This window comes from Homo sapiens, chromosome 1 (assembly GCF_000001405.40).
Source record: "Homo sapiens chromosome 1, GRCh38.p14 Primary Assembly".
NCBI lineage: Eukaryota > Metazoa > Chordata > Mammalia > Primates > Hominidae > Homo > Homo sapiens.
The window spans coordinates 25779221-25800136 of record NC_000001.11 but is presented as its reverse complement, the minus strand read 5'-3'; the positions used below and the strand labels follow the sequence as shown (position 1 = coordinate 25800136).

The 20916-nt window shown below is 51.7% G+C and overlaps 1 protein-coding gene across 6 annotated transcripts in view, besides 5 other annotated features; it reads right to left on the bottom strand.

Moving 5' to 3' along the window:
- Positions 29-750: an enhancer, noted in NCBI's record as "H3K27ac-H3K4me1 hESC enhancer chr1:26125878-26126599 (GRCh37/hg19 assembly coordinates)". NCBI's record gives its function as "activates a minimal SCP1, AML or CMV promoter by ChIP-STARR-seq in naive H9 embryonic stem cells {active_cell/tissue: H9 hESC(naive)}" and the evidence as "EXISTENCE:reporter gene assay evidence [ECO:0000049][PMID:30033119]".
- Positions 80-219: a silencer, noted in NCBI's record as "silent region_461". NCBI's record gives its function as "represses an Ori minimal core promoter by ATAC-STARR-seq in GM12878 lymphoblastoid cells {active_cell/tissue: GM12878}" and the evidence as "EXISTENCE:reporter gene assay evidence [ECO:0000049][PMID:35858748]".
- The window catches only part of MAN1C1 (mannosidase alpha class 1C member 1), a 167660-nt gene continuing 162430 nt past the window's right edge, over positions 15687-20916 (bottom strand). For 5 of the 6 annotated variants that reach the window (NM_001385182.1, NM_001385183.1, NM_020379.4 and 2 more), the window contains 3 exons: positions 19025-19197; positions 17437-17552; positions 15687-16474 (listed from right to left, as the gene is read on the bottom strand). In NM_001385182.1, coding sequence (NP_001372111.1) covers positions 16348-16474; positions 17437-17552; positions 19025-19197 — 416 coding nt within the window. In that variant the 3' untranslated portion in view covers positions 15687-16347. The remainder of the gene's footprint in view (positions 16475-17436; positions 17553-19024; positions 19198-20916) is intronic. The other variant, NM_001289010.2, reaches the window with a different exon arrangement.
- Positions 15793-16415: an enhancer, noted in NCBI's record as "H3K27ac-H3K4me1 hESC enhancer chr1:26110213-26110835 (GRCh37/hg19 assembly coordinates)". NCBI's record gives its function as "activates a minimal SCP1, AML or CMV promoter by ChIP-STARR-seq in naive H9 embryonic stem cells {active_cell/tissue: H9 hESC(naive)}" and the evidence as "EXISTENCE:reporter gene assay evidence [ECO:0000049][PMID:30033119]".
- Positions 18920-19542: an enhancer, noted in NCBI's record as "OCT4-NANOG-H3K27ac-H3K4me1 hESC enhancer chr1:26107086-26107708 (GRCh37/hg19 assembly coordinates)". NCBI's record gives its function as "activates a minimal SCP1, AML or CMV promoter by ChIP-STARR-seq in primed H9 embryonic stem cells {active_cell/tissue: H9 hESC(primed)}" and the evidence as "EXISTENCE:reporter gene assay evidence [ECO:0000049][PMID:30033119]".
- Positions 19543-20165: an enhancer, noted in NCBI's record as "OCT4-NANOG-H3K27ac-H3K4me1 hESC enhancer chr1:26106463-26107085 (GRCh37/hg19 assembly coordinates)". NCBI's record gives its function as "activates a minimal SCP1, AML or CMV promoter by ChIP-STARR-seq in naive H9 embryonic stem cells {active_cell/tissue: H9 hESC(naive)}" and the evidence as "EXISTENCE:reporter gene assay evidence [ECO:0000049][PMID:30033119]".

Here is a 20916-nt window from a genome sequence, read left to right as displayed (position 1 = left end):
CCGCAGGGGCTGGGCGGGGGGTCGCTGGTTCCCGGCTTCGCAGCCCGGCCAGAGCCCGGGGCGGGGTCAGCTACACCGGAACGCCAAGAGGGGCTGATCGCGTCTATGCGGTCGGGTCCGTAGTCCCGGCCACCCCAGCCTCCCCAGGCCGCTTCCTGCCTCTCCGCGCCCCTTCCCGTGCTTCCGTTCCCAAAGCTAAGCCAGGCCTCTGCGGCCCACTTGCCTGGCCCAGCCCAGAGAGCGATTCCAGACTGGGGACTGGGACAAAGAAGGGGCTGGGGAGAAGCCACACACCCTGTGCTTTCCTGGAGAAGGGGCGTCGGGGGCCTCTGAGGCCTCGTGTCCTCCTCTGCTGGCAGCCGGGCACGAGGCCAGAGACTGCTGAGGGGCATCCGTCCATCCTTATCCCACCAGTTTTCTAAAAGTTCCTCTGTCATCTAGAGCAAGACAAATTAAAAAGAAAGCCCAGCCCCTGTTCCCCTCATGTGCAGTTGGGGGGCCACCTCCGCAGATGCATGGGTTATGGGGATTGGCCTTGTTCCAGGCACAGCAGGTGCAGCTCTGAACCTGCACTTCCCTGGGCCCAAATTTCCTCATCTCCACCAAGGAGTTAAAAGAGCCCCCCAACCCCCACCCTCCGGGCTCTGGTCTGGTGAGGGGAAGGCGAGGCTCCAGCCCCTCAGCAGCTGGAGCTACCAGAGGCCCTGGCTTTTCTGGAGAACAGCATGCGGCATGCTTGGAGGAGGGCCTTGGAAATAGGGGTGGGTGGTGTTGAGGACATATTTTCATGCCTGTCAATCCCCAGGACCTTGGTTCCTTGGGGCTCTCTTCCATTCTTTCAAAGCCCCCAGTTACCATGGGGTGGCTCTAGATGTCTCTACCTGCATTTTCTCAGGCGAGGGTGGCAGCTGCAGAAGCCTCTAGACAAGAATTCTGAGCCCAGAGGTGAGCAGTGCCTGCCTTTGCAGAGCCCCACCAACCCCCCCAGCGCAGGGGCACCTGTCAGGCCTGAGGGATCCAAAGGATGCTGAGCTCTGCCCATGTGCTGGACTTCAGGTGGGGTGATTTACACATTCTCTCACTCTGTTCTCAAGCCACCTTGTGAGGTAGAGACTGCTTCCCTGGTTTTCAAATGAAGAAGCCTGACCTCTGGCACCCAGGTCTATGGGTCCAAATCTCCTGCCATCCTGCCTCCCAGGCTTCCCACGGGATGACCCGGTCGACTGAGTTGGGGGTGGGGTCCTGCCTCCACTGCCCATCCTGTTCTTCTTTGGTGGCCAGCCATGGCAGCACCAGGTGAGGCCTTCCCAGAGCCCACACAGGGCGTGGCACATCGTGGGCACTCCTCAGTGTCTGTCAGATGAATGACTCCCAGGGACCTTCCAGAGTTGTGGGCCCACCCAACCCTTGCCCTGTGCTCTGGCCCCAGTGTCCTTAGAGGGACCCACTGAGAGCCTGACATCTGGCGTTGGCTTCTGAAGGCTTCCAACTGTGCCACTTTCAACTCATTATTGCTACTGTTTGGGGACACCCTGTGTACGATACATGATACTAGAAAACCAAATTCTATTCTATTGGAAGCAAAACTAGTAGAGCACAAAGCAGGTTAGGAGGGGAAGATTGATGAGCTAAGGCTTCTGGAAAATAAACAAAGGAAGTTTTCTTTCCCAGATAACTTTTATTTATTACACTTGCTTTTTCTTAAAGATACAGATACCCCACTGGTCTCTGCTGCCCAGTGCTGAAGAAATGGGTTTCTGGGGCTTGCGGGACTTGGGGGATGATTCTAGAAGCTCGGGAAGGCGCACAGTGGGGGTGGGTTAATGACAATCAGGTCAGATCAGTGTGCCTCTGTGAAAAGGATCAATCTTGGGCCCAGCTCTGGGAGATGTCAGCTCTGGGAGGTGTCAGCTCTGGGACTGGCAGTGGAGCAGGGCTGGTTTCCCACTGGAGGGCGCCCTTCCCAGAAGGGCTTGTCCCAAACCAAGATCCCCGGCAGGGCAAGGCCGTGAGAGATAGGGCCTAGTGGGTGGTTCTGGCTGGGGCAGCCCTGCAGGATCTCTTTGGCACCTTGCTATTGCCTCCCAGTGGGCAAGGGTGACACTTGGGAACTGGCAGCCAATGGGAACCACAGCAAGGTGAGTGACGCACTGGCCACGTCCATGAGGGTCTCGGAGGTTAGTGGGCACTCGCTCATTCATCCTTCCAACACATGTATTGAAGGGCTACTATGCCGTGTCCTGGCGATTGGGTGTCCATCAGAAAACAAAACAGTCTCTGCTCTTCCAGATGAGTCAATGGATACTGCAACCCTCCTCTCGAGGGGTAAGTGCTCTGAGAGGGGTGTGCACAGAGGAGGGTCCCCCTGACTATCAGGAGGGCTCAGAAGAGGCTTCCCAGAGCAGAGGTCTGGCCAGACCTTGACTTCAGGAGCTCACCAGGCATAGCACCCAGGAAGATCATTCCAGAGGGTGGGAACAGCAGAGGTGAAGGCCCAGTGATGTGAAACTCGATGGAGTATCCGTAGCGTCTCGAGAATATAGTCCAGTGGATTTGAGCAGAGGGACCCGGGGGGGAAGTGTGAAGAGGGAGGAGGAGGAGGCAGGAAGGTTGGGCTGGCACGCTGGCCAGCTTGTGAAAAGCCTGGACTTTACCACTGAGACAATGTGGAGGCATCAGAAGAGAGGGACATTCAGCCACTGCAGCACCCTTCAGACTCCCTACTGGGTCCCAGCTTCTGCCTGGGGGCACCCACACCCACCTCCCTGCGCAGAGGGTGTTGGTGTAAGCACTCCAGGCCACTCCATCCACCCATGAGAAGAGGAGGGAGCCTGACCTGCCTGCAGCCACATTTAAGTAGGGGCAGGGTCACTGCCTCGAATCCTGGTGTCTCTCTCTCTCTCCTACACACACACACACCCCTGATGTGTGTGTGTCTCTCTCTCTTTCTCTCTCCTACACACACACACACACGCGCGCACACACACGCGCGCACACACACACGCACACGCGCGCGCGCGCACACACACACACACACACATCCCTGCCTGCCTCCTAGTAGCATCCTCTCTTCTGCTTCCTGTCTCTTTGGGGTAAACTCACCAGGAAAGGCCTTCTTCCCGCAGGGGGCGCTGCTGCCCTCCAGGGAATCAAATCAAATTAGGATTTTCCATTCCAGTTTCACCGGCGACAGTGAGCCAGGAAGAGGGCCATTTGGCTTTGTTTTTTGTGTTTCTTCTCTTCATCTGGGACCCTAGAGAGGCAAGTGATTTTCCCCAAACCCAACCCTAACATCTTGGCAGCCAATAATAGGACCAACATTTGAGAACAAAGGATCACTTGGGGGAAACAGGTGCCACTGCAGGAGTTGCTTAAGCATGCCCGGACCACGTGGGCCTCTCCGCAAACTAAATACCTGCTGTGTGCCAGGGACTGTTCTCAGCCCTGGGAACACAGTATTATAGAAGACGGGCAAGGCACTTCCTCTGTGGGGGCTGAATATTCTACTCGGAGGAAGGAAATGACAGACACACAAGGTAATTTCAGAGAAAGGTAAGTGTGAAGGAGTGAGACAGGGCACTGTGGCACAGTGCCACAGGCAGGCATCAGCACCGTAGCTGGGAGGTGACACATACACTGCGCCTGGAACGGGAAGAAGCAGCCAGCTATGAGAAGAATCGAGGAAGGAGCGTCCCAGGCACGGAGAAGAGGGGAGAGCCGGTGCAAAGGCCTGGGGTGGAAACAAGCTTGGTATGTCCAGGAGACACACAGAAGGCAGAGTGAGTTATGGGAAGAGAAAAGCTTGGTGACAGAGGCTGGGACAGGACGTCGGAATCTTGCAGGCCTCGGCAACAAACTTCATTCAATTTATTTATTGAGACAGGGTCTCACTCTGTCCCCCAGGCTGCAGTGCAGTGGCACGATCTCAGTTCACTGCAACGTTGAACTCCTGGGCTCAAAGCATCCTTCCACCCCAGACTATCAAGTAGCTGGGACCACAGGTGTGAGTCACGGCACTTGGTCAAACTTCATTCTAGATATGATGTGAAACCATTATAAGGTGTTAAGCAGGGTGGTGACAATGTGTGACTTGGTTTTTTGTTAGTTTGTTTGTTTTTGAGATGGAATCTTGCTCTTGTCGCTCAGGCTGGAGTGTAGTGGCGCGATCTAGGCTCACTGAAACCTCCGCCTCCCGGATTCAAGCAATTCTCCTGCCTCAGCCTCCAGAGTAGCTGGGATTACAGGTGCCGGCCACCGAGCCTGGCTACTTTTTGTATTTTTAGTAGAGACAGGGTTTCACCATATTGGCCAAGCTGGGCTCAAACTCCTGACCTCAAGTGATCCGCCTACCTCGGCCTCCCAAAGTGCTGGGATTACAGGAGTGAGCCACCGCACTCGGCTGGTGACTTGTTTTTTAAAAGACCTTTCTCATAGCCCAGATGCAGAAACAACCCAAATTTCCAGCAATGAATGGATAAACAATGCGGTGTATCCATTTGATAAGTATTAGTGGGCAATAATAAACCTTAGCAACTTTAAGCTGGGTGGAAAAAGCCAAACACAAAGACCACGGCTTGTGTGATTCATTCAGTGAAATGTCCAGAATCCACAGATCCAGAGAGACAGAAACTAAATTAGCAGTTGCCTGGGGCTATAGTGGGAGACCGGGAGGAGGGGGCTGGGGAGTAACTGCTAATGGGTACAAAGTTTCTTCTGGGGTGATAAAATGTTCTAAAATTAGATTATAATGATGCTTGCACAATTCTGTGATATACTAAAAAAACATGAATTGTCCATCTTTGAAGTGGGTGGATTTTATGGCATGTAAATGATATCCCAGTAAAGCCTCTTGGTTTTGATGTTTGTTTAAAGATCTTTCTGGTTTCTGGGTAGAGAATAGAGTTAGGGGATGGACAGAGGAAGGAGGGAGACAGGAGGCTAATGCAGTCGCCCAGACATAAGATGGCAGGGATTGGGCAGGCGTGGACAAGATATATGAGTGTAGCAGAGCCACAGACAGGATTTGCGGATGGGTCAGAAGTGGACGGCAAGAGGAAAGACCAGCATCAGCCATGGGTTGAGCTTGGGTAGCTGGTGGCACCATCCTGAGATGAGGCACCCTGGAGGGACCCCGGCTGGGGAGAAGGCTTGGTCCAGTCTGCCAGGTTAAGATGCCTGAGAGCTGGCTGGGCGTGGTGGCTCACGCCTATAATCCCAGCACTTTGGGATGCTGGGGTGGGCGGATCATGAGGTCAGGAGGTCGAGACCATCCTGGCCAACATGGTGAAACCCCATCTTTACTAAAAATACAAAAAATTAGCTGGGCGTGGTGGCGCACGCCTGTAGTCCCAGCTACTCGGGAGGCTGAGGCAGGAGAATCGCTTGAACCTGGAAGGCTGAGGTTGCAGTGAGCCAAGATCACACCACTGCACTCCAGCCTGGTGATAGAGGGAGACTCCAGCTCAAAAAAAAAAAAAAAGATGCCTGAGAGTCACCCTCACGGAGGTGTCAAGGAGGCAGTTGTGTGTGTATGACTATGGGGCTATGAACGGTAGGGAAGGGGGGCGTGGATTATAAATCTGGGAGTTGCCAGTCTAAAAATGGCACTTAAAGCCACAAGATTCAATGAGATCATTGAAGAGAGAGAAGAGAAGCCGCCTTTGGCCTATGTGGCCACAGATGCCGCCGTGTCTTGGAATGTTGAGTGGCTTTGGCTGGATTTACAGGCATGGAGCTGTGGCTGTGATTAGCCAAAAAATAGATTAACGTTAGAGGTCATGACAGGCTTGGCTTGGCTCTCGTACTGTCCAGGCTGGGAGAGAGATTTGTTTCCCGGGGTCAGTAAATGCCCCCGGGACTTTGCCAGATGGACAGATTTAGTCTCAGCATCACGAGTGCAGAGGTCCTGGTTACCCAGCCTGGCTGCCCACTAGTCACCTGGGGCCTTTGAAGGAGACCAATGCTTGGGGCCAACCCCCAGTTGGTTGGGGGAAAGAGGGACATTTTTACCAGCTCTCCAGTGATTTTGAGGGAGAAAATGTAAAGACGGCCAAGTTCCACACACAAGCCACAAAAAAGAGTTTGACATTCGGGGCCTTTCCAACGGTGAGTGTCAGGCACAGGCAGATGGTACCGGATGATCTGGCCTGAATTCTGTTCCACTTGTCTTGTGTGTTTTGAACTGGGTCCAGGGCCAAGGAGGGAACCGTGCTGGGGGGTCAGCCACCCTGGTCTGCTCAGGACTGACACTGATGGAGCACCGAGGATGTGGGATATTCGGTCCTACAAGCAAGAAAGCCCTAACTGGGATGAGCTAGTCACCCAAACAAGGGAGAGGCATAGCTCAGCTTGCATCTGAGAGGCTTTATTTCATCATCTCTGATCTTGGTTGTGCACTTCAGAGGTTTTTTTTTTTTTTACCACAAATGGGTACAAGAGGGCTTCATAATGACCAGACAAGAAAGTGTGAGCATCCTTATTAGACAGGAGCTAAGTGGTTATAAGTTGTATCATATAAATTAAGACAGAAAATGCAGAGGATTTTTTTTTTTTTTTGAGACAAGGTCTCACTGTCACCCTGGCTGGAGTACAGTGGTGCAACTTCAGCTCACTGCAATCTCTGCCTCCCAGGCTCAACTGATCCTCTTACCTCTGCCTCCTGGGCTCAAGAGAGCCTCCCACCTCAGCCTCCCGAGTAGCTGGGATTACAGGCGCCTGCCACCACACCCGGCTAATTTTTGTATGTTTAGTAGAGATGGGGTTTCACCATGTTGGCCAGGCTGGTCTCTAACTCCTGACCTCAGGTGATCCGCCCACCTCGGCCTCCGAAAGTGCTGGGATTATGGTTGTGAGCCACTATACCCAGCCTATTTTATTTTGAGATGGGGTCTCACTCTGTTGCCCTGGCTGCAGTGCTATGGCATGATCATAGCTCACTGCAGCCTTGAACTCCTGGCCTCAAGCCAGCCTCCCGCCTTGACCTCCCAAAGTGCTGGGATTACAGGTGTGAGCCACTATACCCAGCCTCAGTGGAATGTTTATAATGCAAAAAACCATGAAAAGAATGAAATGTCTGTGCCTGAAATTAGGTGATGGTGAAAGAGGTCCACATAGGGTTTGCTCTGGGGATGGCAGGTATTGACTAGAAGCAGCACATGCAAGCCTTCTGGGTGCTGGAATAGTCTTGATCTTGACTGGGGAGGTGGTCATATGAGCGTGCATATAGGTCAACATTCCTTGAGCTGGTCATTTAAGAATAGTGCGTTTTAGGCTGGGTGCAATGGCTCACGCCTGTAATCCCGACACTTTGGGAGGCTGAGGCGGGTGGATCACCTGAGGTCAGGAGTTCAAGAACAACCTGGCTAACATGGTGAAACCCCGTTTCTACCAAAAATACAAAAATTAGCCGGGTGTGGTCCTGTAGTCCCAGCTACTCGGGAGGCTGAAGCATGAGAATCGCTTAAACCTGGGAGGCGGAATTTGCAGTGAGCTGAGATTGCGCCATTGCACGCCAGCCTGGGCGACAGAGTGACATCGTGTCTCAAAAAAAAAAAAAAAAAAAAAAGAATAGTGCATTTTACACATTACTGTATCTACATTATATCTCAAAAAAAATTTTTTTTTAAAGTTTCACTTAAAAACTCAAGGAGAAATAGGACTGGTTTAAAACACTAGAGCCACGGAAAATTAAAGCACAACAAAGGCTTAACACCGGAGCCATGGAAAACAGTAGTATTTTATTTTATTATTTTATTTTATATTTTATTTTATTTGAGACAGGGTCTCACTCTGTTGCCCAGGCTGGGCTTGCTAGGGCACAGTCATAGCTCACTGCAGCCTTGGACTCCTGGCCTCAAGTGAACTGCCTTGAAACACCGGTTTGAAACACTGGAGCTTTGGAAAATTACAGCATGATGAAGGCAGACATGCTGACTGGGCTGGAGGAAAGGAGTGATTTCTCAGGAGACAGCTGGGACACGTGGACACAGATGAAAGGGAAGAGGAGGCAGATAGTTCCTGACTGCTCCAAAGATAGGCTAAGGGGATCGGGAGATATTAGGGATCCAAATGGCTCCATGACCCCTGGGAGGACCTTGAGAGCTATAGTTGGTGGCACCAGTCAAGGCTGTGGGGTGGTCCCTTGGTGATCAGGTGAGCTGTGGACAGGGAAGGTGTCCAGACCACATGGTGATCATAGGTGGGGAACCGTGTGGAGTCAGGACCCTTCAGGAAGCACACGGAGAATGACACAGCAGAAGGTGACCCAGCCAGGCAGACTTAGTTAGAACCTGGGCAGGTGCGGAGCACTCAGTGTCCTGCTTGGAATTACCCATGGAGGAGGGGTGAAGGTAGACAATGTTATGTTTCAGCAATATGTGCTTTTGAGAGACCCAGAACTCCCTGACTTCATACCTGCCACAAATCCTGAAGGTTTCAAAGAAGAATGAAAAGAAGGCCCCAGGCCCCACAAACAGCCTCCGTTGGCGCATGTGCGAGAGAAGGAGCCGGGCCACCTTGGGAAGCAGCTTCCATTTTTTAAAAGCGCAGCTGGGCCCGCTTGAAAGGAGTGGTAGAAACAGAGGGGGCAGCAGCCTGGAGGCTTGATCCACGGCTACAGGGAAGAAGGGTCAGAGGAAAGGTTTCTGGTGCCCTTGAAGTCTCCCAGGCTCCTCAAAACCCAGGGAGTAAAAAAGCAGAGGAGAGGTCATGCACACAGGGCAGAGGGCACTCGGGCCTCGCGGCACTCCTGGGGCACAGGCTTCAGAAGCTTCCGCTTAGGAATCTGAGAATGGTTTTCCACTGAGACAGATGTGAGAGGAAAAAGAATTCCTAGGTCTCTCCACTCAGAAGTCGGAGGAAACTTTCAGAAATGTAAAGTGGGTCATCTCATGTGCTGCTTTAAACTCTTCCTAGCTTCTTGCTGCTCTCAGATTAAAATTAAACTCTGTCTTAGTCCATTTTATGTCGCTATAACAGAAAACCACATACTGGATAATTTATAAAGAAAGGAATGTATTTCTAGAGGCTGGGAAATCCAAGGTTGGGGGCCTGCATCTGGCAAGGGCCTTCGTGCTGCGTCCACTTGTGGCCAGAGGCAGAAGGGCAGAAGAGTGCCAGAGAGCAAGCAAGCAAGCAAGCAAGCAAGCGAGGGCTGAATCGGCTTTCAGAACAACCCACGTTAATGCATTCACAAGGGCAGAGCCCTCATGGTCTAATTACCTCTTAACAAGCCAGGTTCCACTTCTTAACACCATCCAAAGGCAATTGCATTTCGACATGAGTTTTGGAGGGGACATTCAAACCACAGCAAGTACTTACCTGCCCACCAGGCACTGAGGGATGGAACCCCTTCTGCCGACTTCCTTTGACCCCCCAGACCCTCCCACTCGCTTACTGCCTTTCTGTGTCTCAGATGCAACAACACTTCCTGCCTCTGAGCCTTTGCATTCACTGTTCCCTCTGCCTGGAATGCTCTTTGCACAGCCTGTCACAAATGTCAGCTCCCCAGGGGCCATCCCTGACCTCTCCATCTCTAGTGATCTCCGTGCGAACTCAATTCCTGGAGAAGGTGGTCCATGCAGGTCCTAAGACCTGGGAAAGCCACAGTTGAAATTTTGTAACTTGTGCAAGACGATGGAATTATCCCTGAAGGTCTCTCTCTTTGAGAAGTGGCCCAGAGGGGTATGGCGCTGGCCCACATCTTCTCCGTTCTCTGCTGTTTACACTCTGTCCTTGCTCTGGTCCCTGGATGGCGAGGACATCGTGGATCTGGGTTATCTGGGTTCTGGGAGCATGATTTTGCTAGGATAACTGCCAGAGGAAAAGGAGTGTGCTGGTATTTTCTAACCTCGGGCAGCTGCTGGGAATCTCATCTCTATTGAGTCAGACTTTGGAAGAGCAGATGCTCCAGAAATTTGGGCTAGGGTTAATTCAACAGTGGAGAAGGTGAAAGTACGACATCAGCAATGTAGGAGTTGACCCAGGAGGTGGCTAGGGCTGCAGAGCCTGACCCTGGAGCAAGCCTGTTAGGGCCTCAGTTCCCTCCTCTATAAATGGGGGTGCCATCTTTTCCTGCCCATCTCCCTTCCAAAGTTTTGTAGACAGGATTTATCAGGTACTCCATGAAGAGGAAACACTAATTGGACCTCAAACATTCCTGGGCAAGCTCTCGGCATCTTCCTCAGCCCTGGGCCCCTGCCCGAGCATCCCCCACCACCAGACGGGTCCCTGGAAGACCTTGGACAGTCAACAAATCTTCATCCCAGTTTCCCAATTTCTGTAGATTCAGGGCTAGCTAATGGCAAAATGCTTCCTCAATGGGAAAAGCAGAAAACGTTCAGATTTATTGCTTTGAGATTTTGGTCTGTCTCCTGGGCCTGGTTGATGCGGTTTCCCCCAAGTTTCAGAGCATTTTGTTTAAAAAGAAGAATTTTTGACAGCAGTGTTTTGCCTCACATTTACACAAGGTTTTATAGTTTACAAAGAGGTTCACATCATAACAATCACTGCTAGGATGCACTGAGTTCTTACAAGGGGTGGGGTGGGGAGGCTCGATTAACCCTTGAAAGCACTTTCCTTTTCCATGGATGGAAAAGCAGAGGCTCAGAGGAGCTTAACTAAGGGGCTTGCCCAAGGCCACACAGTCCTGGAAAAGGGCAGGGCAGAGCTGAACACAGGTCCACCAGTTTCAAATGTTGTGCTTGTATGAAACCGACATGGGTTGTCCTCTCCTGTCGCACCCCTCTGCCTCTCTTGCCTTCAGCCTACCCACTGCATGCCCTGCTGCAGACAGTGAGTAAGAAAACACAAAACAAAACAAAACCAAACTCAGAGGCTTGTGCAGAAAACAGGCTGGGATGAGTATAAAAATAACCAGGTATGTTCAAGGGAATCCTTGAGTCCCTAAACAATGTATTTTCTGCTAACATGATTTATGTAGTGGTGCAGGTGATGGAGGTCTTTGCAGCACCAACAGGGTAGTTGCTTTCTGAGTTCTAATTCTGCACTGTCCAAAACAGCAGCCAGCAGCAATGCATAGCTCTTTAAATTTAATTAAAATGAAATGAAATTGGCCAGGCGCGGTGGCTCACGCCTGTAATCCCAGCACTTTGGGAGGCTGAGACGGGTAAATCACAAGGTCAGGAGTTCAAGACCAGCCTGGCCAAGATGCTGAAACCCTGTCTCTACTAAAAATACAAAAATTAGCCTGGAGTGGTGGCATGCACCTGTAATCCCAGCTACTTGGAAGGCTGAGGCAGGAGAATTGCTTGAACCCGGGTGCCAGAGGTTGCAGTGAGCCGAGATCAAGCCACTGCACTCCAGCCTGGGCGACAGAGCAAGACTTCGTCTCAAAAAAAAAAAAAAAAATTAGCTGGGTGTGGTGGCGCACGCCTATAGTCCCAGCTACTCGGGAGGCTGAGGCAGGAGAATTGCTTGAACTCAGGAGGCAGAGGTTGCAGTGAGCCGAGATCGCGCCACTGCACTCCAGCCTGGTGACAGAACGAGACTCTGGTCAATTAAAAAAAAAAAAAAGGAAATAAAATTAAAAGTTTAGTTCCTCCATTGCACTTGCCACATTTTAAGTATTCCAGATCCACATGGGGTGACCCTATTGGACGCCACTGTTCTAAGCCACCAGCAGCCTGCTCCTGTCTTATCCTGGCTGTCCTGAAGAATGGAGAGCTGTTGACATAGGTGGCAGGCACACACCTGTTTTAAGGTAGGTCGCTTTGCAGTCAAGGTATCTATAGATGCTATCCTAATACCTGAGCCCCTCTACTCCACTCTGGAGCAGTTACAGCTCCAGGGATGCAAATAAAAGGCAGAAACCAAGGCAGTGGCCACCAACTGGGGTCTTGCTACTCAAAGTGTGGTCCAAGGACTGGCAGCATCAGCATCTCCCGGGAGCTTGTTAGAGAAAAGCAGAATCTGGCTGGGCACAGTGGCTCATGCCTGCCATCCTAGCACTTTGGAAAGCTGAGGCGGAAGGATAGCCTGAGCCCAGGATTCTGAGACCAACCTGAGAAATGTAGCGACAAAAAAAAAATTAGCTGGATGTGGCGGCACACCTGTAGTTTCAGCTATTCAGGAGGCTAGGTGGAAGGACTGCTTGAGCCCTGCAGATGGAGGTTGCAGTGAGCTATGATGGCCCCACTGAACTCCAGCCTGGGTGACAGAATAAGACCCTGTGTCAGGAAAAAAAAAAAAAAAGGCAGAATCTCAGGCTCCATGCCAGAGCCGCTGAACATGAACCTGGATTTTAACAAGCTCCCAGGTGATTCCTGTGCACGTTTGAGAAGCTCTGACTTAAGAGACAGGCTGAGCAGGAACAAAACAGTGCTCCAAATATAGGAAACCAAACTGATATTTTCAGATACAAAAAATAGAATCAGCCCCCTTCCTCCAGTAGGGTGTAATTAAGCATTAGTCACAGAGGGCCGAGCATCTTTGTGCCACATGACCAATGACCATACTTCCAAGGACAGGCCCCCAGGGGAAACGCTGGGGGAAGCTGGCCCATTCATCTCTAGCACTTTCTCAAACCACAGTGGGGTCACCTCCTCAAAGCAGAGGGAACGGAACTGAGCATCCATCTTGGATGCTGCCTTTAAATCAGATTTTCCATTTTTGCTTTTCTTCCCAATGCATTTGGCTGGTCTGACCAAATAGCCAGTCATTTAAAGGGAGGCACCTAGAAAAGGACTGTGCCCTGCTCGTCCCCCTTCCCGGGGCCTTGAGGCTCTGCAGACCTCAGTGCCAGGAGCTGGGTGTTGATGAAGCTTTCTGGGAAGGAGCTGACATCACACCCTTCTATGAGGGAAGCAGGTGCAAATGGTGCTTCCATCCTCAGCGAGGGCGCAGATGAGGCTTAAAATGAGCTTGGCAGCCACAGGCTGACCCCCAGCTGGGGAAGGAGAGGGCTGCTTCAGGGAGAGGTTTGGGTGTTCAGATTCTGTGGCTTGCAAAGCTCTCTCCTACCTTCAGTGAGAGGTTTGGGTGTTCAGATTCTGTGGCTTGCAAAGCTCTCTCCTACCTTCAGTGAGGATGAGTCATCCCTTAATTCCTCTCTCCTCTCGGCCTGTCTTGAGTCGTACTTATTTTTATCCGTGGAATGGAGTTAAGTTGCCAAAAGGATGATATTTCTCCACCTGCAAGGGCCCTCCTGGAGGATACATTTTAAAATATTCATTTTTACAATTTCCTCCCAGCAATACAGCAGAGGACAGGAGAGGAGAGGTAGACAGCCGCACGGGCCTGGCGGGGGAGCCTGGGGCTTGGGGAACTGCAAAGTGGCTTTGAGACAGAGAGACATTCTAGAAGTTATTCTGAGGACATAATTGGACAAAAGTGAAAAGGAGGATGGTTAAGTATGCTCTTCATAACTCTCTGTATAATACTGAAGAAATCAAAGCTAACTGTAAACAGTCCTGCTGTTTTTGCCTGTGCAGCCTGCAGATCCCTTATTTTGGTGATGAATCTCATGTTTTTCTCTAGGGAACAGCCCAACACCCATTGCACAGGGTAATCTTAGGGGGTCTGCCAAGCCAAGATGCCTGGCTCTGCCCTTGGCTGGGGCGGGCATGTGACCCAGGCCAGGCCACATGGAAAGGAGCCACAGCAGGATCTGGAAACATTTGGATTCAGCCCTCCTGATGGTGGTGCCTAGAGAGGCTTCCCTGGTTCTTGAAGGGGTCCCTGGCCAAGTCCTCTTTCTAGCCCTTATTGAGGTTTGGCTGTTTACTCCTTCCTGAGATTCCATAAGCCACCCCATGGCATTTCAGTAAATCCCTTTCTGTGCTTAAGTTGACAGAGTTGGTTTCTGTGATTTGTAACTAAAATCCCAGATGGACACAAACCCAAATGCCTGGCAACAGGGGCTTAGATCAGCAAAGTAGGCTACAGCACACAATGGAATACTCCACAAGCACGTACAGCGATGAGATAAACATGTATTTGTTGACATGGAAAGAGGTTCACAATGTACAGTTAAGTGCAAAAGCAGATTATAAGAAAACAGTGTGCATAGTAGGATACCACGGTGGCAAAATCTATATTCTATATATTCATAGAAAAAGGCCTAGAAGAAAATATAACAGTATTCACCCCAGAGAGTGGGATGGCCAATGAGTCTTCTTTCTGCTTCTATTTTCTAATCTTTCTACAATGTTTGTGTAGTCAGTTTTCCTGGTTTGCTTTTTTTTTTTTTTTTTTTTGAGCACAGGTGGGTCATGGGAGTCACGCTCTCATGCTGCCTGTCAAGAGCATGGTACTTGCTACAGGGGCTACTCCCCAGCAGCTCTGCTTAAGAAGATTCTGGGAATGTCTTGAGTCTCCAGAACAAGGAACAAGCACTTCCTGTGCCCAGGGAACCAGCAGCTTCCCACTTCTTCTCACAGCAACCTTGTGGGGTTGAGGTTTTCTGTCTGCTTGATGGAAAAGAAGAGCCCAGAGAGGGGAGGTACCTGCCTAAGTTCACACAGCAGGGATTTAAAGCCGGGTCACCTGGCCCAGAGCCCCGGGGGCTATTAAAGCTTATGAACAGAGCAAGCAGCTGAGCCCAGGGAAGGGCTCAACATTCTCCCGTGATTTCCGCTGTGTTGACAAGCTGCAAATGTGCCAGGAAAGGACTGGGTGTGGTGGCTCATGCCTGTAATCCCCGCACTTTGGGAGGCTGAGGTGGGCGGATCACCTGAGCTCAGGAGTTCAAGACCAGCCTAGGCAACATGGCAAAACCTCGTCTTTACTAAAAATACAAAAAATTAGCCGGGTGTGGTGACGCACCCTGCTACTGGGGAAGCTGAGGCAGGAGAACTGCTTGAACCCAGGAGGTGGAGGTTGCAGTGAGCCAAGATTGCACCACTGCACTCCAGCCTGGGCGACTGAACGAGACTCTGGGTCTCAAAAAAAAAAAAGGGTCAGGGGAGGAAGAGCTGTCACTTCAGTGTTAGGACCTGAGCTCCTTGCTCTGCACAACAGCCCCAGTGTTTCAGGCCCCCTCCCAGGGAGGGCATCAGGGAGGGTGGGAAAGGGGGCTGGGTTATGGGAAGTTCATTCTTCTGCCAGATAGTCTTTCGGCTGCTCCTTTTTATCTTCTGGGTCTTGGCTTGAAGGTCACCTGCCCAGAGAGGCCCTCCCTGACCCCGTAGGGTAGGTCCTCAGCTGTCTATCTATCTCCTTTGTAGCATTTCCTATGACCTGCAGTCACTTCACTTACTTGTCAGTTTCCCTTACCATCGCTTTCTCCCCTCTTGACCCCTTGACTGCAGGGCTTATGACTGTCTCACTCTCAGCGGTGTCCCTGGCCTCTAGCCCAGTGTCTGGTCCGTTGCAGGCACTCACCAAGCATCTGCTGAATGATGGAACAGACGGACACTCAACTGGGGTGGCCAGGAGACGGCAGGGGCGAGACTCTCCTTTGCCTTTTTTGGGCTGTGTGACCTCAGGCAAGTTGCTGCTCCTCCCTGGGCCTCTTCCCAATCTAAACCTGAGTATAAATAAACAACTGCATCTGAAGGGCTGGCCTCATGCTTCTCGAATATATCAGGACCGATTTCAGGGGAGGTAATAGAAGTTGGAATCGTTTACTAAATTATACCTTAAATCAACTGCTGGCTGATTATTATTTCTGATGGTAACATTGCAATGGTTTTTCTAGGAGTCACTGATGTGCAATGAGCCCAATCATATTTCTTATTCAATAAACTCTTTTATTCTAGTCCACAGATTTTTCCATTACAATAATAATGAAAATAGCACTAGTAATTTGTAACACTGAGGCCCAAAGGGAAACCCCTCCTCAAATTATAAGGTAAATGACACAAAGTTGAACATAGGGTCAGTGTTGGGCAAAAAGCATTTAAAATATAGATAACGGGGTCAAGATTTTGTGTGTGTGCAAACACTGGGTTTTGTTTTTCAGGATGACACCATTTTAGAAAGTGCATGATTTTGAAAACTATATGTGTAATTGTGACAAAACTAAACTGTAGAGAAAAGACAAAATCAAGCAAAAACAAAAACCAAGAAACCAAAAGGAAGCAAATCAAATACAAGGGGCGGATATGCAAACCTCCGGTCCTTTGGCCCTGGAATGGCAAGTGAGTGGGCTTCATAGAAATTCTCTGTAGAAAGGAATGTGTGGGCCAGTGTGGCCATGGCCCTGGCCTGACATCGCTGAGTCTCCAAGTCTTGTCTCCTCACAGAGGAAAAGAAGTTGCTTGTCCGACACATCTGCTGGGGGTCTGCCCGAGATGGGGCCTTCGTTCCCAATCCCTTTGAGAACAGTCTCAAATCCTGAAAAGGCAAGGCATCCCTGCGGCGGCCCCAGGGCGGCGGCAGGAGATGGGGTCAGTGTCTGCCCCAGGCTCTGCCGGAGCTGTCTGAGTGGTTCACCGGGAGTGGGTGGGCCTCGGTGTTGAACACCCAGTCTTCCAGGGAGAGCAAGTCATCTTCAGAGAACAGAAGATAGAGATACCTGTGCCCCACGCAGGGCAGGGAAGCAAGACACAGTCTGTCAGTGGCCTGGGGAAGAAGGGTGGGCCTGGGAACAAGTCTCAGGGCCTTTGTGATAGGCCTATGGTCAAGGTCTGGAGCCTTGCAACCCCAAAACTGTGGGCAGCAGGGTGGGGGTGCTAGTCCTGGGGAAGGAGGCTGTGGCTGCAGAGAAAAGCCTTGAGCTTTGGGGTCAGAAGGACTTAGTTTACCCTGGCTCTGCCATCAGCCAGCTTCACCTGCCCGGCCCTGTATGTGAGCCCTTATGGTCCAGATTCTCTGCAGGGGTGCCTGAGGGCTGCTGCAGTCCAGTTGACTCTCACGTGCCCCGCTGCTGCCCACTAAGACTCTATATTCAGAGTACACATTGGGGCACTGAGAAGAACATGGGGTTGTGACTCTAGAACTCCAGCTTCCAGGTTGTGGGTTTTTTCCTCACTGGAAGGAACTGATCATTCTGACCCACCCTAAAGGGTTAAAGCACAAGGGGCTTGCTTTGGGGAACAGTGAGGAAGTGGGATGGCCAACTTCCATGGCATGAAATCGAGGAGGGCACAGCAGCCACACTGCAGAGGCCACAGGAGGGAAAGTCAATGCCAGCAACCAGCACTGACATCATCATCGTTAACCCTATCCCATTTTACACACGAGGACGCGGTTCCCAGAACGGAAGCAACCTGGGGAGATAAGCGAGAAACTGAAGGAACCTGCGGTATCACACGGTGCGTCCCTAGGGAACTTGGATTCTAGCCCAGTCTCACTCTCCGAGAAAGCGGCCTGGCCCAAGGCTCACACCTGGGGTGCAGCCCTCTGGATCCCAAGCCCTTCACCCCTTTTGGGCTCCCGTCCTGTGACCACAGAACCTGACTGTGGAGGGGAGGGACTGCGGACCCCTACCCTCAACCTCCCACCTGTCCATCCCTAGGAAGAGCCCACACTGCTCACTTTAGTGTCTCCGCTAGAAAGAAGCTCTGCTGCTTGTTGTCGTGGTTGGGGGTGCTACTGTACACGTCTTGGATCCCAGAGAAACCGGCTTCTGTCCGACAGTATTTCTCCAAGGCCTGAGGAAGGGGAAGAGGAGGAGGAAAACAGCCTTAACACGGGACAGGAAAGGCCCCTCAAGACTTGTGCATGCCTGGCAGGCTGGAGCTAGAAGAAAGCAGACAGCACCCCCACCCCTTGGCTGGGGACTCCTGGCATTTGTGGGAACAGAAGGTCAAATTATTCTTTCGGGGTTTAGCCACCTGTCCCCAGGCTGGAGGGGCCACACTCCTTCCACCCACACCTCTGAGAGCTCTGGCCCGATGGGCTGCCTGTCCTGAGCTCTTCACCTGGTTTGAACTTAGAGGAAGCTTCTCTTTGTGTTTCAGGGGACTAGGCTGGTCTTACAGATTCACCCACAGTGGTAGGCAGAGGTGAAGAGAAGCCACGGGTGATGGCCATGGGCTGGGATTTGGGGACGGACTTGGTACTCCAGGGATTCTCAGGAGAGATGGCCCCTGGGCTGGAGGCAAGTGAGCCAAGCCATTCATCTTTCTATATAAATGCATTTTTTTTTCTTGAGACAAGGTCTCATTTTGTCGCCCAGGCTGGAGGGCAGTGGGGCGATCAGAGCTCACTCTGCAGCTTCAACCTCTGCAGTTCGAGCAATCCTCTTGCCTCAGCCCCTCAAGCAGCTGGGACTATAGGCGTGCGTCACCATGCCTGGATAATTTTTGTATTTTTCTGTATAGATGGGGTTTTGCCGTGTTGCCTATAGGCTGATAAATACAATTTCTACCCACGGAGGGGGTCTATGGACTGGGCATAGGAGCACAAGACGCTTGGCCTTTGAAGGCCAAGAACAATGGTCCTGGGGAAGCAGGTGGACTTAACAGGGCCAGTAAACCTGAGCATGCCCTGGACCCCGTCTGAGTGCAATGCTCGGAATGGGCACGGGGGTGGTGGGGGAGATAGGGGCAGAGAAGGCTCAGCATCCACCAGGGAACCTGCTGGAATCCCCACACCTGCCTTTGACACCTCCCCCAAGACAGCCATTAAATTTCCACCTAGGTGTGGGGCCGGAGGCTGAGGGCAGGGTAGGCCTCAAGGGCCAGTAGAGACTAGGGTGGGGGGGTCCCTCAGGCTGGGCTGCCTGTGGGAAGAGGAGGGAGGTGGAGGTGAGCTGCCCAGCTTCGAGATCAGGAAAGCGTCTGTTGGGACAGCGGTGGCCGCGTGGTGCCTGCGTGGTGCTCTAGGCAGCTGCCTAGCCTCTGACCCTCTAAGTTTGCTGAGGCCTGGTCCCAGGCCCCAAGGATATGGGCACTCAGAACCCTCTTCACAAGTCTGGCCTGTCCTGTCTCAGGACAACTTTGCCCAGCTGGGGACTCTTGGCTCTGTAACCACCACCTTGACCCTTTGCACTCTGAACTGTGGTCAGAGGTCAACGTGGCTTGGCCTTCCACTCCAGGCCCAAGCCAGGGCACCTAGCACCCAGCCTGTAAATTCTCAGGGGCATCTAGCACCTTGCTGCCCATCCCTGGGGCCCACTCACCAGCACCACCTCCCAGCCCCACTCCCTGTAGATGGGGTTGTGGGTCTGTCGCCACAGGTACATGTAGCTCTCCACCACCTCTGGCCGGAGGATGTAGTAGCTCTCGCTCAGCTGGGTGGCCACGGCCTCTCTGCCGGAGTTAAACCAGAAGGCCTCAGGCCCAAGTTTGGTGTCTGGGGAAACAGCCAAGCAGAGGGCCCAGGTCAGACCTCCCACCTCCTGCTTTTCGGGATCCAGGAGAGATGTCAGTTGCCTTGAACCCGCGGCCAGGGTGATGTCAGGTGTGTGTGGGTGTGGGGTGCCCCTGCCTGGACTGCTGTGTAAGGCTGCACCGGGCAGATGCACAGCTTCCCTCTTGGCCTGGGCTGGACAGAACAAGACCCTCGGGGACTGGAAATGTGAGCAGCTTTGGACTCTGAGAGTCCAAATGAGCTACTCAGCAGTCTGGGTAGGTGAAGGTTTGGGCGGGGTTCCACAACTGTGTACTTTGAGGCAATAGCTCTGCAAGAGGTTAGCCAGACCTCAGCCAAGAGGGTTTCGGGTTTCAACACATCTGGGGAACCGAGGGTTAAACAAAATAAGTCTCCCATCTGCAGGATTTATCAGATCCTTTAATATGCTAATGTGAAATGAGGCTTCTCCTTGGGACCCTTTGTCTTAGAAAACTGCTTTTAACACCTCCCAGAACAAACTTCGAGAGTTTGGGAACAGCTGAGGTAGAGATGGAGGGAAGATTGCCCAGGAATGCACCTACTCCCACAGAGGGAGCTGAGGAAGGAGGGCCTGAGGGAGCCTGGGTTCTGTCATTGTCACTGTTTGGTTTTGAGGCAATTTGCTGTCATTCTTGTCATATGGCCATAATTATAACCACCTCTGTAGCCACTATTTATGATTTCAAAGGCCGTGCTGGGTGCTTTAATACACTATTTCTATCCTTAAAAAATGTTTCTTTAGTAAGGTAATTGCTACTATCCCTCTCACGCATGTGGAAACTGAGGATCAGAGAGGCTAAGTAATTTGCCCAAGGTAACACAGCGAGTTGTGGCTGAGTTGGGACTTGACCCTGGATGTGTCTGATGCCTCTCCTAGGGCGGTGCTCTTTCCCTCCTGGGTCTAACCCTCATAGGCCCAACATGTAGGGTATGAGGGCCAGATCCTTCTCCCTTTAATGCCTGTCCCTCCTGTCCAGGTCACCCAAGTCCCCAGCTCCATTCCTAATGTGAGCCCTCTTCCCTACTACCAGGGTTCAAAACCCTGAGAGGCCCTAGGTTGCTTTTACTTTAGAGGCAGGGGTTAGAGGTTTGCAGGACTTCCTGCTCTTCCATGGAGGGCTTCAGGGAAGAGGAATTAGCTAGACCCTAGCCTCTCTAACCTTTTCAAATGGTGTAGCGGCTCCTGGCCATCAGAAAACAGTCATTTTGCCAAGTCGCTAGTGGGGTGAAGGCAGGAGCCACTGCTACAGGCGTCCACAGGACAAGCCGAGGCTGGCTAGAACAATATGCTTTATTAAGCGGCTGTCTTTTATGGTCTGGGCTGATTGTCTCAGACAAATAGCGAGCCTTTTATTAGTCCTGAGATTTCTTATTTGTTTATGGCCCTGGCAGAGCAAGCTCTTTGAAGAGAATGGACAACCAGTTTTAAAGACCCATTGCGAATCTCTGACTTCCTGGAAACAGCTCCAGGAGACCCCATTCAGCTGGGGCGGGCACAGACACATCATGATGGGCGGTCAGCAAGTGCCTGCAGTGCTGCTGGCCAAAGGTGGCTGCCAAGGTACTTTCTCATGGGACCCTGTGCCTCACTCTGAGACCTGTGTCATGATTCCCATCGAACAGATAAGAAAACAGAGGCTGCCCATCTGGCCTCTCTAATCTTTTCAAATGGTGTAGCGG